The sequence below is a fragment of the Homo sapiens genome, chromosome 2 (genome assembly GCF_000001405.40).
Source record: "Homo sapiens chromosome 2, GRCh38.p14 Primary Assembly".
NCBI classification, from domain to species: Eukaryota; Metazoa; Chordata; class Mammalia; order Primates; family Hominidae; genus Homo; species Homo sapiens.
The window spans coordinates 217590074-217609430 of record NC_000002.12 but is presented as its reverse complement, the minus strand read 5'-3'; the positions used below and the strand labels follow the sequence as shown (position 1 = coordinate 217609430).

At 44.8% G+C, this 19357-nt stretch overlaps 1 long non-coding RNA gene across 12 annotated transcripts in view; it reads left to right on the top strand.

Moving 5' to 3' along the window:
• Positions 1–19357, top strand: part of DIRC3 (disrupted in renal carcinoma 3) — a 506425-nt gene that overhangs the window by 181013 nt on the left and 306055 nt on the right. For 2 of the 12 annotated variants that reach the window (NR_026597.2, NR_186292.1), the window contains one exon: positions 8602–9819. The exons of the other annotated variants lie outside the window; for them this stretch is intronic. This is a non-coding gene — a long non-coding RNA (disrupted in renal carcinoma 3). The remainder of the gene's footprint in view (positions 1–8601; positions 9820–19357) is intronic. 12 annotated transcript variants of the gene reach the window in all.

The following is a 19357-nucleotide window of genomic DNA, read 5'->3' as shown; positions in this document are numbered from 1 at the left end:
CCTTCATGGCTGCCTTTAGTTTCCACCCACGTCCCTTCCCTTCCTGAATCCCACCTCCCTAAGCACTATTGACAGAGTGGTCCACTTCAGCCATCGAGGGACGCACATGTGTGTGCACACATACACACACACACACACACACACACACACACACACAGACTGAGCACACAAAAAGCAAACAACACCCTGAGGAAGAGAGGGACAAGAGAAAAACACATAAGTAGAGAGACACAGGCAGATGGAGACTGGAAGAGAGATAGGTGCGCATAGTGGAAGAGATGTTAGTTACCTAAACTCTGCTTTGATACTTATTGGCTGAGCCACTTGGGAGAGTCACTTAACCTCTCTGGGCCTCATTTTCCCGTCTGGAAAATAGGCATTGTTTACTTAGTAAATATTCATTAAGTGTCATTTTTTAGGTGCCTAGGCTGTATCAGTGAACAAAATAGTTAAAAAAAAATCTTGCCTTTCTGTGGGTGAGGTGGAAATAAAAGTAAATGCACTAAGTAAAGGATTTTGTATGTTAGAAGATAGATGCTATAGAGTGTTAGTTTGGGTTGACCATAGGATTACATATGTCAGGAAAGAACATTCAAAGAGTTCTTTAAAGGACATGCCTGTGGGAGGTAGAAAGGGAGGCTGCCAGAAAAGGCTCCAGGGAGCCCCCAGTCCACCATGCAAATGTGACCTTGAGTGAGGAGAGAGAGAGAAGGTTGGGTGGAGGAGCCCTGGCTTGCTGAAGCCATGAGGGGGAGTCAGTCCTCAAGCAAAAGCTGGACACCAGGAGTCCCATGTCTCTATGATGGCCTTAGTCTTTGGCCAGCAACTGCCCTGGGGAGGTGGGGTAGCAGCTCCGATACAGTGATGGGTTTCACAGCATAGCAGCTGAGGCCCTTGGTCAACTATGTGACCTGGAGTTGAAGGTCTGTACAGTGCGTTCTCATGGTTGGCACACATGAGAAAAAAGCCTAAAGAATGGAGCAGGGTAAGGAGGACAGGGATTGCTGTGATGTGGACAGATCAAAATTTTAATAGGGTGGGCAGGGTAGCCTCACTGAGAAGATGATATTTGAGCAAAGATTTGGAGGAGGCAAGGGAGAGAGTCGCAAAGATGCCATTGCCATCATTGTTGTTGACATCGTCACACTGCAGCCTTGCAGGACAGTCGAGTGGGTGGTGTGGATTCATGCATGGGAAAGCACTTTGTAACGGCATAGACTTAGCTGCCGGAGAACAAGAACAAACAACAAGGCTATTTGTCCTGGCATCTTGGATTGACATGTCCCTGAGAGAGGAGCTGCTGGCCTCTATCCCATGCCATGTCAGACCTCTCCTCTGGGGAGGAGCAGTCGGGATGACCACTCCACCCTTGGAAAAGCGAGGTATTCTGTTTCCAGGGCATGCTGCTCCCAGGGACTTAGAACTCTCTGAATGGCTGAAACAAACAGCCCCCAAAGTCCCAAGAGGATAGAATCTTATTTTCACCTCAACAATGGGATATAAAACAAAATCTTTCTCAGACAACTAGATGAATGTGTTATTCTCCCTGAAAACCAGAGTTAACAATAGCTGCTGATAAGAGATCATTCTTATCTCTGTGGTATCCTGGCAGATGGAGTTTCACTGCTAACCAAGTGTCTACTGTGTGCCAGGCTCTGTGCTGAGTGAAATAACTTATTTTATTTTGTTGAGTATCTGAGTGTTTATTTCTATTTTTATAAAAATAGGAAACTGATGTGAGGCCCCCACAGTTGGTTAAGTGGTAGAGTAGGGACTCAAACCCAGGTAATTACTTGTCTGAGAGTCTGTCTCCCCAAACCCCTCATCCCTTGTCCCTGTGCTATGTGCCCCTGACAGGAACAGGTGGATTCAATTCATTTCTGCTTGACCTGTAGCATGTATAAGGGGCCCTGCTGCAGGGAGGCTTTCAAGCTGGGTAATGAATGGTCAAGCCACACTCATCCAGCTGTCTGCAGCTTCTGGGTGAGTGGCTGGCCATATGCTTTGGTATTCTTTGGAGCTTCATAAAACTCTATGTTAATATTACCTAAGGGAGGTTGTTAAATGTAGATTCCCAAGTCCTGCCATTGAAAATTCTGATTTAGTAGGTTCAAAGTATGCCCAAGAATCTGCATTTAAGGAGCACTGCTCTGTGAGAACATGCAGCTAGGTGGGTGACCAGCAGGTTGGTGCATGTGGTGGCATTCCTAGGGGAAATAGTCGCTGTTCTTCCTCTTGTCCTCAGGAAAAAGGCCCAAGGAGCAGTGGCTCTACCGGCCCCTGGGAAATGTCCAGATGACCCTCCATAACTCCAGTCAGAACAAGGACCTGGATCAAAGCAGAGTGGATTTTGGAGATCTGAGTGGGAGATGTGTATGGGGAGCATCATGCATGTCCTTATGTGGTCAAGCTTCCTCTATTGCTTATAAACACCTCTGTAATCTTTGAGAAAGTTGGGTGAGCTTACGCAGATCTCAACCCTGTCCCAGAGATGTACTATGTTAGGTGGTGGAAACCTCAGAGATCTGTTCATCTCATTCCCCTGGTTGGAATATGGGCTGGAGGGTAGAGGGAATGGTTTGCGGTCATACAGTCAATAGCCCCAGAGTCAGACATCAAGCCCAGGTTTCCTGATTCCCACGTCAGCCCTCACTCCGCACTTCTTTTTGAACCTATAGACATGTGCTGCTCTCATGCTCAGCTCTTGGCTGTCCAGCCTGGCCCAGCAGACCTGCTAACTTGCTTTGAAGATGCATAGGGATGCTCGTGGGCCCTGGCACTGAAGCCCTCTGGGAGCTTACATCCTCATTTCCCAAGTCCTCAATATGCAGCAGGGGTAATGCCCACCAGTACATCAAGAGTGACAGCTAGTCCCACCCACTGCCTCCATACTCAACACTTCCTAATGTTACCCTCCCTCCTCAGCTTCCTGTTAATGGATTAGAGTTTCTCTTTGAGTTTATTGTTTCCTGTAGCTTGGTGGTATAGGATGTGGCTTTAGATGGCAGTAGGCAAATATTTTACTAATTAATGTATATTGCTTACTGTATGCCAGGCTCTGAGGAATCTAGATGTATTAACTCATTTCATTCTCACAACTATTTCATGAAGTAGGTACTGTTTTATTTCCATTTTGTAATAAGGAAACTGAGGCACAGTGAGGTTCAGTGACTTGCTCAAAGGCCATGGAGCTGGTGCATGGTGGCAGCAGGTCTAGAATCCAGGCTCTCTGAGTCCAGAGCCTGTGCATGATCTATACTCCAGTTAGATCTTCATTTCAATGTGTGTATGAAAACGATGCAAAACATTCAATGCTGGTTGGAAGATACAGATGCCAACCACAACCTGCTAGTGGGTCTTGGCTAAGGCAAAGACAATTTCTAATAGGAGTGGAGCTTGAAACAATTTTAATGCAGGTCTTGTACTTTCTGTGTTAGAAAATTGATGCCTTGAGAGCCAAGATCACTTCTCCAATGTCCTGCTGTGAGTTAGTGGACAAGCTGATCCTGGAATCCTTCTCCTGACACCAGCTTCATGTCCATTGCTTTCTTCTTGAGTATTCACAAAGCATGGATTTGATTGAAGTCGTGTTTCATAATCTAGATCATTTAAACTTCACACAAATAGTTTGTAATCAGGCACTAAATATGGTGTGTTTTTCATGAAAAAAATTTAAAATCAATTTCCCAAGGCCATTTGGCCCAAAACACAGTTCAAGATCTGCTGAAGGGCCATTTACACCATCATTAAATGTCTCAGTCAAGACATAGTTGAGTGATAAGGCACCGTGATAGGTAGTTATCTTTAAGAATCACCCTCCTTTCCTTCTGCCCATCACGTCTCCTTCCCAAGGGCTCTTCTCCCCAAAGAGGCTGCCCCATTTACCCATCGTTCCCTTCTTTCTCTTGCCCAGCTACACTCACGCCCTGCAGCAGAGGCTGCCAGTCTGCCACTTATGGCTCCTTTTGTCCTGAACTCATCCCGTCTTCTCCAGGAACTTCCATCTCAGGTTCATATCGAGCCCTTGATATACCTACCGCCTCATCCTGTGCCCCAAATGGCAGAGAGCAGGGATTCATAATCCCTTAGTTTCATCCATTCTTTCTTTCTTGTTGGTGTTTTGTGCTCTGGCAATGCTTTCTGAGCCATGATCTCCCTTCCCTTTGCTATGCTTCAATTTCCTTCTCTGCAAAATGACGATCAGATCTGATGGTCACTAATAACCTGTTATTGACCCAATGGTGTTAACATTGAAATATTGTTTATTCCACTTGACCCTCATTTGATTTCCTCTCCTCCCCAGACTCAGCTGTCACAGGCAGGCAGTGCGATTTTCCATTCCCCAGGAAGTCTTCAAATAACACTTATTATTCAATGGAGGTGGGAGGAGCTGCACATAATTCTCTTTCAAAATAATGACAGGAGAAGGAAAAGAACAACAACAAAAAAAAACCTGAAGCAATCAAAACAGGAAAGTCCACCCTTGTGGGATGAGCCGGGGAGGAAGGACAGCACCCACCACATTCCAAGGAAACTTTGGCCCCTGCTTTGTGGTTTTATATATTATTAGAGAATTTACAACAAACAGATGAAGAGGAGAAGCTGGATGGTGCTGACAGTTCTGGTGGGAAGTTGATCCTGCACAGCAAAGGCCCTGTCTAAAAATACCTGGCCAGGACCTTGCTGTTTCCATAAACAGATGGACACCACGGCCTGGCACGGGGCGGCGGCAGTGGGAGGAAATTGTATCTGACAATGATAACAATCTGGCATGTCCCAGAGCTTCACATCCTGGAGAGTCCAGCGGGCTGTCCAGATCTCCACTGGTGCAAATGAGACGGCTGTAAATAGAATTTTCCCAGCATGGCTGCCCCTCATGGGGGCCCGCAAAACATCTCTCCTGCCCCCCTCTCCTCCCAATGCATCCATAAAGAGGAGGCAGATGAGGTGTGGAAGCTGCTAGAGGGGTAGAGGAGTTGAGGTGGGGCCACTGGGGGGACCCCATGGAGCAGATGAGATCTGTTTGTGGCCTGTGCATGTGACTTTCAAGAAGTCTTGCTTCATGTCTTTGTATCTAACCTTCCAGGTCTATAACAAGGAAGGGACACGATTCCGGAGTCAGTATGTTCAGTTCGGCAAGACTCATTTAAAGAGGGGCAATATACCCAAGTAGTGGGGTCAAGTGGAGAAGAGACCAAATGTGTTAATCCTTGTGCCAGCCTGTAGGAGAATCTGTTCCTTGTCAGGGTGGCCCAGACTGAATGGGACACCAGGAGGAAAGAGTTCCTCATCACTTAGGCAGAGAAACAGAGGTTGGGAAACTGTGTCCAGAAAAAGGACACAGTTGAGATGGGTCATGACTAAAGATATAGGCTTTGGAGTAAGGCTTCCTGGGCTTGAACCTTGCCCTACTCACTTAGTGGCTGTGCATCCCTAAGCATGTTACTTAACCTCTCTGAGCCCTCGTTTCTTCGCTGAAAATATAAATGATGAAAATTTTTACTTCATAAGTAATTGTGAAGACTGAGTGAGATAGTACATAGAAGTTGTGCTGGATAGCTCGTGTTTAGCTCTGCAGGTCCATTCTCCACCCTTCTTCACTCTGTTTTTCGTCCTGGAGTCTCACCTCTATGGACCACATCAGTGAGTTCTCATGTCCTCTGGTTTCCCATTGGCCTAGCTAATGGGAGCCCAGCAGGAGATCAGAAGGTAGTAGGAGAGTGATCTGGGTATTTATTCTCCCAATGACCTCTCCGAGGGGTTGCCAGGAATCAACTGTGTTCCTAGACTCAAGGTCAAAGCTCCTGGTAGAGGATCCTCTCCCATGTTCTCTCTGGGGTCTAATAACCGCTAGCTTACCTTACTCCTTCAACCCCCGGGGTCATAATGGAGCCTCATTGTCAACAGCCTTGGAATATCACACCGCCCCTTGCAATTTCCCTACACTTTGCTCACATCTTTTTCAATGGTCTTTTTATTAAGCTCAACTCAAATGATTCCAATTTGGTCATTCCTTTTGTTTCTCATTGGGACCTGGACTGTCACATAGTGACTGCCACATAGTAAACAATCAATTTATTCGTTTGACAAATATTAATCAAGTGTCCACTATGTCTCAGGGACTGTCCTACCTAGTGGAGGTTTGATGATGAACAAAACAAAGATTCCTGTCCTTCTGGAGCATTCATTCTAGTAGTGTCTTTACTGATATTTATTGAGCACTTATTATGTAGCAGAGACCATTTCAAGTGCTTTACAAGGATTAACTCACAAGGTCTTTACAACAACTCCATGAGGTAGAGACTATTAACACCATGAGAGAGATGAGAATGTGATTCAGGGAGATTAGATTGAGTTACTTCCCATGCTGGGAAATGACAGAACCGAAATTCAAAGAATAAATGTCAAAATAATTTGATTAGTAAATATGAGCTAGCAATGATGATGATGGCAGTAATAGCTAACATTTATTTAGTATTAACTTTGTGATGTTCACTGTGCTTGGCCTTTTATGTGGCTTAACCTGCCTGATCCTCATAGTGATTCTGTAAGGTTTATGCTGTTATTATTCCCATTTGCAGATAGAGACAGACACTGAGGTTTCCCTGACCATGCTATTTAAAATTTGCAACCTCTCCACCCTGGAACTCACTTTACCTCCCTTTATTTCTTTTTTCCAGTGTCATATATCACCAACAGATATACTCAGCATTTTTTTTCTAATAACTTTTATTTATTTATTTGTTCCCTTCCCCTGGAGTGAAGTCTCTGTAATGATGAGGATTTTCATTCATCTGCACACTCTCTGCCTGAAACAGTGTCTGGAATATAGTGAGAGCTTGATAATGTTTATTGAAGGAATGAATGAAGCAGAGTGTCATGGAAAGCCCCCTAGGCCCCACAGCCAGTTGAGGGCAGAGCAGGATTCAATTCCCAAGCAATGACCAAGGGCTCTTTTTTGACCTTTTTGACCAAGAGCTCTTTAAAAGGGACATTGGCAAATTGGAGGGGGCAGTGGAATTTGGATACTTGAGTTCTAGTTCTTGGTCTGTCGCTCATCCCCTGATCAACCTGGGTGTCATCCCCCTCTCTTGGATTTCATTCTCCTCATCCTAATATGACAGAGTGAGACAGGTGGTTTCTCATATCCTCTCCAGCTCCAGGTCTAATACATGGTAACTCCCAGTGGCCAGCAGAGGGGCCATGATCTCCCAAGGTAGGAGAGTGGGACCTGAGCAAGGCTCCACACATTCCTTACTTGTTTCAGCCCCCAAAGGCTGAGCAGGTTGAGGAGGGAGGGGACCCCCAAAATGCTTTAGGCAGGGACGTTCCTCTGCAGGGGTGTTTCCTTTTTCTGCTCACCTGCACAAACCAAATAGCCATAACTTGAGACTCCACTGGCAAGAGCAGGACCCTCAGAGGCTCTGTGTGTTTTTCCAGGGTCCTAAGCTTGGCAGGATCATTTGTTGACATATTAATTTGTATTGTTCTTGCCATTGCAGAAGAATCAGAATAAATCAGAGTTGTTTTTGTTTTAAGACTTTTAAAAGGCTCCCTCCTCAACCTGCTCAGCCTTTAGGGGCTGAGACAAATAAGAAGTGTGTGGGGCCTTTCTCAGGTGCCAGCGGCCACTCTCCCACCTCATGCCATAATGACTCCTTTGCTGACCACAGGGAATCACCACGTGTTAGACCTGAGTCTGTTCCATTTTGCCTAAAAGAGCAAACAGGGCTGGGAATCAGGTGGAGAATGGGGATTTTGTTTTCCAAAGGAGCTGGTTGGTGAAAGCAAAGGGGGCTCAGAGAGTGGGGAAGCACAGGAGTTTGGAGTTGAGGAGTAACTTTTCGGAAAGGGAGGAAAGGAATTGTATCCACCAGGGTCCAACCAAGGAAACAGAGTCACATGAAATATTTATAACAAAGAGAATGTGACAAGGGGAATTGGTTAGTAGGTGATGGAATTGCTGAGAAGCCAAACAGCAGATGAAAAGGCAGCCCTGAGATTAGCAAGAGTGGGGAGTCTGGTTGCCCTAAGCTTGAAGGACAAAGGGAGGAGAGCCTGAGGGCAGCTGAAACCAGGGCTGACCTGTGCAATGGGAGCTGGGGGCACAGAGGAGAAGTGGCAGCTGCTGGAGATGCTATCTTCAGAAGCAGAGAGAGAGGGAGCAAGGCTTGGCTTCTCTCCTCCATATCCAGTCTTCTAGCAGTGCCTTACCTGGGAATCAGCTGGAGAACTGTGCCTTGTTTCTCAGCAGAGATGAAGAGGTGAGGTCCTCTGATGGGCAGCATGGGGTACCAGGGTTGGAACACTGAAGAGGAGCCTTGGGAACCTCAAAGACTCCCATACCTCCATAGGCACTGAGGGATGGAGCACCCAAAGGAGCTTGCCTTTGGGTGAAGCAACTTTAAGGATGATGAGTACCCTCAGAGACCATGTCCTTTGCCTATGTCTGAGTACCGTCTAGGCAGCACCCCCCCGCAAAACATGATAGAGACTGAAGGAAACAATAAGGAATGTGGCACTATTTTATACTCAACTTGTGGAATAAAATTGATTCCTGCTAGAAGAATTACCAATGTTCTCCGCATCCTGTCTTCACAGCATGATTTTCTGGTCAGACTGCATCAGCTCCCTCTTCTCCACCAGGACAGTAGGGATCTACAGCCCAAGAACCAAAGACTTTGGACATTTTGTTCTACTTGGGAAGTTTGTAATGTTATCTTCTGCTGTGGAGCATAGTGCAAAGAAATAGGGGGAAGAAAGGTGGGTTTCTTCTGTCTCCACCCCAAAGACCAAGGATACTTTCTTCCCTGAGGGTTGCCTCTGCATTGCAAGTTTTTTCTGACCCTTCACTACACAGATGGACAACTCAGGTGGCCAGAGGACTTCAACTGAATGGAATTACACAATGATTTGTTGAACATGTATTGTGCACCAGGGAGTATGTGAGGCTATGTGGTAGGCATGAGATGAACAATGGAAGATTCTTGCCCCATGGAAGGTGACCACTGGAATTAGAAATCCTAGCATCACCTAAGGAAAGGCTCAGATCTTCCCTGGTGGAGGTTGGGGATCTTCCCGAAGGGACCTTTTGGACCCAGAGCTCTTGTATCATTGCCTCTTGGCAAGAGGTTTAGAGACTCCCTTCATCATGAAGTTTCACAGACTCCTTCAGCCTTTATCTTTCCTGAGTTCTATGGGGAAAAGCTAGGTTAGATATGTGGAGTGACTCACCGAGACCTGAGAAGGCATCTGCATGAGGCTGCGGGGGTGTCCTTAGAGAAAAGGGAAGCTGCAGTGTGGAGGCTGGGGGATGCACAAGATGATCTCCAGAGTCTCTCAGCCTTCAGAAGCGCAGGCTCTCTGAGGCCACATTCCTTCCTGGTCTGGCTCAGTGGAGGCTGTGTTTCCCCACTGTTGCTTTTTGCATGGATTTGTTCAGCAGTTGAATGGGCAGAGAAGGAGGAGTCTCTCCCTTCCTGTTCTCACACAGCTCTGCTTCATGGACACCCACACAGATTCACTGGAGAGCAAAGCCTACCAGAGTCCCTGTCAGCAGCACTGTTTCTAGAAGCTTCCACATGAGCAGACAGCATGGAGTCCTGGGGGCTAATGAAGCAGCAATGTCAGCATGAGCACAGGCAGGGAGAGGCAAGAGGAGCAGAGTAAAGGGGAACGTTCTCTTCATTCTTCCACCTGCCTGTCCCCCAGCCGACACGTCCCTTCCGTTCCCTGCAAGGCCATTTCCAGGGAGGCTTACGAAGACAGCAGATGATGGTGATGGAAGGAGTCTGGGTGCTGAGCTGTGCCATGGACCTGGTGAGGAGGAGCGCCATGCCCTGAGCAAGGTCATGTGATGATGCTAAGTCAGGATCAGAGGCTTGGCAGGGACTGTCGGGATTTTACATCTCTTCCTATCGGCTTTTCTGACCATCCTGGTTCCCAGAGCTCTTGTAGCTTTGCATTCAACCTTTCTTTTAACTGCACGTTTAAACTATGAAAAGATAAGGGTGTAAGAAACCTCTTAAGGCTAACTAATGCTGGCTTCATTTTCCACCTCTGCCATCTGCTTACTAACTGAGTCACTTTGGACGACTGATTTAACTTCTTTGAGCCTCTGTTTTATCACCTGTAGTTACCAACGGTAACTTTCTGGCATGATTTTTACGAGTAAAAATAAGAAAATGTATATAAAGTGCCCAGCACTGTCCTATTATGTAGTAGTTGTTTAAAAAATATTAGATCCTGCATCAGTCAGGCTTCCCGCAGGAAACATAGTGTCTTAGGTTGGCCCCTCCAGAAGCAGGTCCTGAGAACAGATTTGGGTGCAAGTAGTTTATTTAGGAGGTTATCTCAGGGAGCACTAAGAGGGGACTGGGGAAGTGAGGCAGGAAGAGAAGGCAACTGAAATGGGGTATGTCAATGAGAAAGTTCCCACTGTGGGCAACCAGGGCTCAACCCTGCTGGGCACCTCTGGGAGATGATGTGGAACACACTTCCAAGTTGTCCTGAAGGCCTAGGAAGATGAGCTATTCATTTGTCCATCAACTGCTACTTATCATTCTTTGAGGACTGCTCTTGGGGGACCCTCGTGCAGTTCAAGCATGCCCCTGGGGCTGGAGAGAGCACATAGGCAGAGCCACAGGTGCTTGCTGCAAGAAGACCAGCAGGGATGATGCATGCCTAGGGTCTGCTCACAGAGAACCAGCAGTGCCTGCTCCAGATGGCATACTCCCAAAGGGTGTAAGGGGAGTTTAATGAAGAGTCTGTTTACGTTGGTGTGGGCAGTTAACGGAAACCAAAGAAGGATGTTGGAGCACACCTAGGGCTACGGGTAAGAAGCAGCTACTATGCCTGGTCCTGAAGATACCAGAAGAGAGGCCAATTGCCTGATTCAGAGAGACGGTAGCTATCAGAGAAGGGCCTCTGGAGAGCAGCTATGTCCTCAGGTTGTAAAATGCTTGGACAGGAAGGACAGGAACTGGAGAATAAATCTCCAGACCTCTTGCTCTTCCTGCCCACCAATTTCCTACTGTTGCCTCCCAATAATATTATAGAACCCAAAGAAGCTAGAGAGAAGGGAGTTTGGTTTGTTTGTGCATCCCTGAGACATCACCCTCTAGGGGCGCAGAGTAGAGTAAAGGTTGAGATGGGATCTGGGAGAGCAAGAAGGGAGTTATCTCTTACCAGATTTCACTGATCATGCCTTTACTCTCATCTCCACAAAGGCATTGTAAAGTCCTAGAAGGCTGGGGCTATACCTCATTTTGTGATCTTGTTTCTAGCAAAGTGACTTGCATGTATTAGAAACCTAAATATTGGGTGATTGACTGGAGTAATGAAACCTGAGGGCTGTTGAAGAGAAGTGGGTGACGCCTAGGCTGGGGGTAGTGGTCTTTGATGCCTGAGCCAAGAAATGTGGTTTGAAGTAGTCCCCAGAAATATCAGTTCTATCTGGGCTTGGCAAGCCACCCAAGGAGTCAAGAATACCACATGGGAATGGCTCTGTAGAGGACTTCTTGCATCTGTGTCACTTTTGAGAGGGATGCTTGCTCTTTGACTGTGGTTGGTCAGGCAGCGGGCCTCTCGGGGGCACTCCTCAATGAGAGCCAGGACTCCTTCGAACCCCCGCCATGTCATTCAACCACTGCACGTGCCAGCTGTGGCTCCACTCCCTTTTCCTTAGTTTAACTTCAGTCCACATATTCCAGCTGCTATTATCATGGTGATTATTATTTGTTGGGTAGTGACAGCGGGTTTGGCAACATGGCAGATAAAGAGATGCTGCTGTATATGTTTTCTGGCTGTTGAGATTGCCACCACCTCCTTGATTTGTTCTGGAAGATTCTGAAAGACTGCTACTTCCCCTATTGGGTCTTGGATGGAAGTTAACAGGGCAGTATTTCCCAAAGGGAAGAGTGTGAATCACTTACAACAGAATCAGGTTGAGAGGTATAAATATGCGGATTCTAGGACTTCACTCCAGACCTACAGAATTATAATCTGAATGTGCCTTGGTGCTCTGCAGTTTAATTAGCTCCTCAGGAGGTTCTTAGGTCTGGCGATTTTTAAAGGAATGCTGCTCTGGGAAACCCACTGAGTGGAAAGGAAAAATGAGAAAACAGGCGGGGTATCAGCATGGTGTCTGCTCTCGGAATCTGATAGGCAGGCTTGTGGAGAGAACCCAGTAAGAAATGTTTGGTGAAGAAATACTGCCTACATTTGTTTTAAGACACTAATAAATGCAATATAACATGAGTTAGAAAGCAGTGCTTGGTATTGCTTGGTTTTAGACTCTTCGTAATAAAATCTTGTATGTAATATTTGTAAAGCTGATAATAGTAACCATTGCTTATTGAGCATGTGCTATTGGCTGGACATTCTTTGAAGTGTCTTACATGCCTAAAACACACTTAGTGCTCACTACAACCCCTAGAAGTCCCTACTACTAGTATCCCATTCTGCAGATGAGGAAAGTGAGGCACACAGAGAAGTTACATAAACTGCTGAAGATAAGAAAGTTGTCAGTGGACCCAGGATTCAAAGGCAGGCATTCTGCCCTCCTGAACATACTCTATGCCAGCTTCTTATGTGATAAAAACAAGGATGTGTTTGTTAGTGTTTTTGTACTGTTACATCAAGTACTAATTCAAGAAACTCTCAGTTGCCTCTTATATACTGGGTACTCATTAAGAATATGCAGAATGAAAGACTTGGTTCTTGATCTTGAGGAACTGAGGGTCTGGAGTCAGAAAACATGCAACTCAATTACATGTATTTGTTTATGTTTAAATGCAGCTTTTGGGCTCCTATACAGGTTGAGCATCTGAAACCCAAAAATCCAAAATCTGAAATGTTCCAAAATTCAAACCTTTTTGAGCACCAACATGAAGCTCAAAGGAAAGTCTCATTGAAGCACTTCAAGTTTTGGATTTTTGGATTTGGGATGCTTAATCAGCAAGCATAATGCAAATATCCCAAAAATTGAAAAAATCTCAGACTTGAAAATCTTCTGGTCCCAAGCATTTTGGATAAGGAATACTCAAGCTGTGTAAGATGCTTTGGGAAGCCAACACAGATAGCCAAATTTGCTCAGGTGAGTGGGGGAGGTGTCATTATAGTGGTGACATTGCAGCTAATTCTTGCAAGATATGTAAGAGTGCTTTGGGCAGAGAGGGAGAGAAGGAGAAGCAAATTCCAGGGAGAGGAAACTACAGGGGTAAAAAAATAGAACAGGGAAAAGAATGGGGTATTTTACATGAACTGCAGCTGTTATAACACAGAAACTGTGATGTTGAGGGGGTGATCAGTGAGATTGTGACTGTAGGCTTGAGGTCAAATCATGACAACCTTGAGAGCTGAATAGGGCATATGAGCTTGTTCTGCAGGTATTGGGAAACCATGGCAGGGGGGGCATTGTCACAAGACTGGCAGCAGTGGGGAAGAGTTAAGATTAGAGGGGAAAAAAATGGAATCCAGACCAGCTTTAAGGTGTGGCCAAACAAAAACAAAAACTAAAAAACCTAGGTAAGGATAACGAGGGCCTGAGCTCATTGTAGTGGGGCTGAGGATGGAGAAGACATAAAATTGAGAAACACTGGGAAGATGGATCAGTAGTTCTTAGAGACCGATTTGATACTGGCGGCTGATGGAGAGAAAAGGCTGACTCTTGGGTTTCAGGCTTGGAAGACTAAAAGGTAGTAATGCTAATGTTAAGTTATAGAATTGGGGATGGTTTAGGATAAAAATAAAGGATTTAAGTTGCGGCATGTTGCATTTAAAGGATGAAGAAATTTGAGTAGGGAACATAAGATCAGAGATGGTGATATATAAATAAGATTTGCTTTTTGTGATGGAAAATTCTTTTGCTCTCTGATGGTTTTACTTGAAATTTTTGTGGACCCATACTCTTATCCCACCCCACCCTCAACTGGAGAAATGTTTTAAAAATATTTTTAAAAGACACACCTGTACCCTACTATCTGATAAAGAACTTATCTACCAGGTAAAAATGTTACTCAGCTCAAATGTTTAGAAATGAAACTTTCTTTTTTTTCAAAATTGAACTCAACCATCAATTTTAGCTGACAGTTTAAACCATGATCTCTGTGCTTTAAAGTGACTTAGCCACTTCTGGTTTAAAACTTTGGTTCAAAGTTAATCTTTTTGAACCAGAACTGAGTTTTCCATTTGCTTTTTCCTCTTTGTTTTTTCTTGTCCTTCCCCCCACACCCAGTTAGTGGCTTCTGGGAAGAGGTAAGTGGATATAGTACCATGGTGGTAGAGAGACCATCTAGAAATGCCTAGGAAATTAATTCACTTATCTCCTGGTATAGGAACATACATTTTGAAATGTTAATTTATGGTGTTTTAAATTGTATTTTTTTCTCCTCCAGGTTTAAGGAGGTAGTCTGTAGGTGACAAGATATAGAACTTTTATCATGGATAACTCTAGAGACAGACTGCCTGGGCTCAAATCCTTGTTCTGCCATTGCCCAGCTATGCAACCTTGGTTAAGTTACTTAGCCTCTTTGTGCCTCACTTTCCTTGTCTGTAAAGTGGAATAACAATAGCACCTACCTAAAAAAGTTTTGTGAGAATTAAACGAGCTAACAATGTAAAGTGTTTAGAACGTGCTTAGGACATAGAAGAACTACATAAATTTTCAATTACATTAATTCCTTGCTTTACAGGATGGACTACAGAAGCTACTTTGAAATCAGAGACTTTCTCTGTCTTTTGTAAAAGCCTAAACCTATCAGATTTTCTAGGTGTCCTAGAACAGGAGGGGAAAAGGAGGAGGAAAGCGCCTTAGAGTGAGGCAGAGTGAAGACATTCCCAGGGATAGGTTGGGGGCTATCCTGGTGAGGTCCTGCAGAGGAGGCTAGTCTTAGAGGAAATGGTGGTGTGAAGGTCTCAGGAGATAGGACTCAGGGCACAGTGACCACTAGACCTGAAAGGACTATATCAGGCAGCACAAGGGACATCCTAGCAGGTACTGGGTGGACTCATTATCCAGGATCAGGGGAGTATCTGTAATGTTGGCACAATTCTTGGCAGAAGCCTCTTGTAACAGTGGAAATTGACTCCCCACCCTTCTTCCTTTGGTGGGCTAGGGACTGGGAATGAGATACAAATGGGTTTAAGAAAGTGAAAACTTAGGCCACTTCTTTCTTGCACATGTGAATGAGTGGGCACAGTCCATTTCAGGTCAGAGCAGGGAATGGAGGAGCACACAAATGTCTGGAAGACTCTTTGTTTTTAATTAAAGAAAACTGCTCTTTCCCCTTCCTCCCTTCTTATCCCCTAGGAGAAATAGAAGCTGAGTCCTTGGCCTCTGAGTTTAACCAGGACCTCCCCAGAGCAGCAGTCAGGCAGGAAGATTTAGCCCCATTTCCCTCCACTTCCCTCAGACCTCTCCCCGGGACTGCCTGCCCTTCTGTGTTTCACTTCCTGTCCTCCTCTTAAGTGCTCCCCTGTGCAGCTGCTCCACAGCTGGTGGCTCTCCGGTCACCTCCCCCCACCACTTCCCTGTTGAAGGGGGCCTGGGGAGAGTCAGAAGGTGCTACATCAATGTAAGACATTTCCTCCCTGCCCCTCAGCTGTGCCGCTCAGCTGTGTGTCCTCTGGCACCCACAAAATCAAACACCTGCCTTCCAGATGTTTGCACCTATAGGCCGGCAAAGCTGACTGCAGCAAGTCCTTCAGAAGGGAGACAGGTATTTAGTTGGGGGCAATGTTAAATGGAATTTTTGGCCTGAGAAAGACATGGAGGGAGGGGGTTGTCATTTCCACTTCTCTACCTTTAGGAAACATGAAGCTAAACAACTGAATTCTTTATGCTTTAAAGACATCAAATGGAAGAGTCCACAACTTCCCTTGGGCTCACTGTCAGTGGTTTCTCTTTATGACCAACCATATTTCTTTCTAATTTTAAGGGAAGTAGTATAATACCATGCAGAGCTTATACATAATCATTATGCTTCCTTTTCCCCAGTGTGAGTATTCAGAGGTAAGGAAGTATGGTGGTATGGAATGAGCACTGTCTTTGGGGTCACACAAGCCTGTGTTGAAATCCAGTTCTAGCCCCATACAGCTATGACCTGCCTTAACCTTTATGTCTCAATTTCATCCTCTTTAAAATTTGGAGAGTAGCACCTATGGAGAAGAGTTTTGCAGACTAAATAGATAGTGTATATGCATACTTAGCACTGTTGCTGGGCTCAGAGTAAGCCCCCAGTAAGTCATAGTTATTGTTGTTATTATCATGGATAACCTGTTTCTTAATTCAGACAAAAAAAAAAAGATGTCCACCATTAAGTACCATCTGCCCATCTATGCTGAGTGCTTGTTAAGCTAAGTGTTGCACAAAACAAGGTAACCCATGGATACCTTTTCTTTAGTTCAGGGTGTTTAAAGGTATGCCATGTTTCACTTGCATCAGGTCATTCTGATTCAGAATCTATTGGCTGGCAGAGAATCAGTATTTTGTCAAATACCCCTCAAAAGTCTTTTTTTTTTTTTCTTTTTTGAGACAGAGTCTTGCTGTGTCGGACAGGCTGGAGTGAAGTGGCACCATCTTGGCTCACTGCAACCTCCACCTCCTGGGCTCAAGCAGTTCTCCTGCCTCAGCCTCCTGAGTAGCTGGGATTATAGGCGTGTGCCCTAAAGAAGGCCCTAACCCCAGCCCCAGTGTTAAGCTTGCCAATGGGGCAAGACTTTTCTTTATATGTCACAAAAAAACCCAGTAATAGTTCTAGGAGTCCTTACAAAGGTCTGAGGGACGAGCTTGCAACCTATGGCATACCAGAGTAAAAAATTGATGTAGTGGCAAAGGGTTGGCCTCATTGTTTATGGGTAGTGGCAGCAGTAGCAGTCTTAGTATCTGAAGCAATTAAAATGATACAGGGAAGAGATCTTACTGTGTGAACATCTCATGATGAGAACGGCATACTCACTGCTAAAGGAGACTTGTGGCTGTCAGACGACCGTTTACTTAAAAATATCAGTCTCTATTACTTGAAGGGCCAGTGCTGCGACTGCGCACTTGTGCAACTCTTAACCCAGACACATTTCTTCCAGACAATGAAGAAAAGATAGAACATAACTGTCAACAAGTAATTGCTCAAACGTATGCCACTTGAGGGGACCTTCTAGAGCTTCCCTTGACTGATCCTGACCTCAGCTTGTATACTGATGGAAGTTCCTTTGTAGAAAAAGGACTTTGAAAAGCGGGGTATGCAGTGGTCAGTGATAATGGAATACTTGAAAGTAATCCCCTCACTCCAAGAACTAGCGCTTAGCTGGCAAAACTAATAGCCGTCACTCAGGCACTAAAATTAGGAAAAGGAAAAAGGGTAAATATATATACAGACTCTAAGTATGCTTACCTAGTCTTCCATGCCCATGCAACAATATGGAGAGAAAGGGAATTCCTAACATCCGAGGGAACACCTATCAAACATCAGGAAGCCATTAGGAGATTATTATTGGTGGTACAAAAACCTAAAGAAGTGGCAGTCTTACACTGCTGGGGTCATCAGAAAGGAGAGAAAAGGGAAATAAAAGAAAACCGCCAAGTGGTTATTAAAGCAAAAAGAGCTGCAAGCAGGACCCTCCATTAGAAATGCTTATAGAAGGACCCCTAGTATGGGGTAATCCCCTCCAGGAAGCCAAGCCCCAGTACTCAGCATAAGAAATAGAATGGAGAACCTTACGAGGACATAGTTTCCTTCCCTCAGGATGGCTAGCCACCAAAGAAGGAAAAGTACTTTTGCCTGCAGCTAACCAATGGAAATTACTTAAAACCCTTCACCAAACCTTTCACTTAGGCATTGATAGCACCCATCAGATGGTCAAAGTATTATTTACTGGACCAGGCCTTTTCAAAACTATCAAGCAGATAGACAGGGCCTATGAAGTATGCCAAAGAACTAATCCCCTACACTACAGGCCATACATTTCAATCCCTGTATCTTTAACCTCCTTGTTAAGTTTGTCTCTTCCAGAATCAAAGCTATAAAACTACAAATTGTTCCTCAAATGGAACCCCAGATGCATTCCATGACTAAGATCTACCGCAGACCCCTGGATCAGCCTGCTAGCCCATGCTCTGATGTTAACGACATTGGAGCCACCCCTCCTGAGGATATCTCAATTGCACGACCCCTACTATGCCCCAATTCAGCAGGAAGCAGTTAGAGTGGTCATCGGCCAAACTCCCTAACAGCGCTTGGATTTTCCTGTTGAGAGGAGGCACTGAGAGACAGGACTAGCTGGATTTCCTAGGCTGACTAAGAATCCCTAAGCCTAGCTGGGAAGGTGACCACATCCACCTTTAAACACGGGGCTTGCAACTTAGCTCACACCTGACCAATCAGGTGGTAAAGAGAGCTCACTAAAATGCTAATTAGGCAAAAACAGGAGGTAAGGAAATAGCCGATCATCTATTGCCTGAGAGAACAGCTGCAGGGACAATGATCGGGATATAAACCCAAGCATTCGAGCCAGCAATGGCAACCCTCTTTGGGTCCCCTCCCTTTGTATGGGAGCTCTGTTTTCACTCCATAAAATCTTGCAACTGCAAAAAACAAAATAAAAAATAAAAAAAAAAGGTGCCAGAAAGGGAACCAGAAAGTATGTGGGAGATTATAGACAGAGAGGCATTTAGGAAGAGGACCCTTTAAAGTGGCTTATGAACTCCTGGGCTACACCCCCATGAACTGTGCATGAGTGAACTTGGCTAAAATATTATATATAGACTTTGAGAACTGAACTATGGGCTATACCACATACCTAAGTACTAAACTGGCTACTGGGTGGTATACATGTGAGACAGGCCCAAACATCACTGCAGAGGTTTTGAAAATTGAGCTGATAATAGAACCACAACCCTCATAAAGCTAGTTTAAACATGTGGACTGAAACCAACTGGGCTACTTACTTATTAAAATAAAAACATAGAATAAGCAATGAGGACTTAAATACAACCAGAGTGTTTTAAAATAATACTGAAAATGTCCAGGGTACAGTCCAAAATTACATAGCATACATAGAATGAACAAAATCTCAAGCCATCCAGAAAAAGACAATTAATGGAATTCAATATCTAGCTAACATGACAAAAAATTTAAAGCAGCTCTTATAAAAATGCTTCACCCAATAAGGGAGAGCAGTCTTGGAATTAATGACAAGATAGAAATTATCAGCAAAAAATTAGAAAAGATAGAAAAAATACAACTCTCTCTCCCTCCAAAAAAACTAAGAAATGGAAATTTAGGGAAAAAACTAACACAAAAACAAAATCAAAACATTGCTAGATGGCCTTAATAGCAGAATAGAGACAACAGGAGAGAGA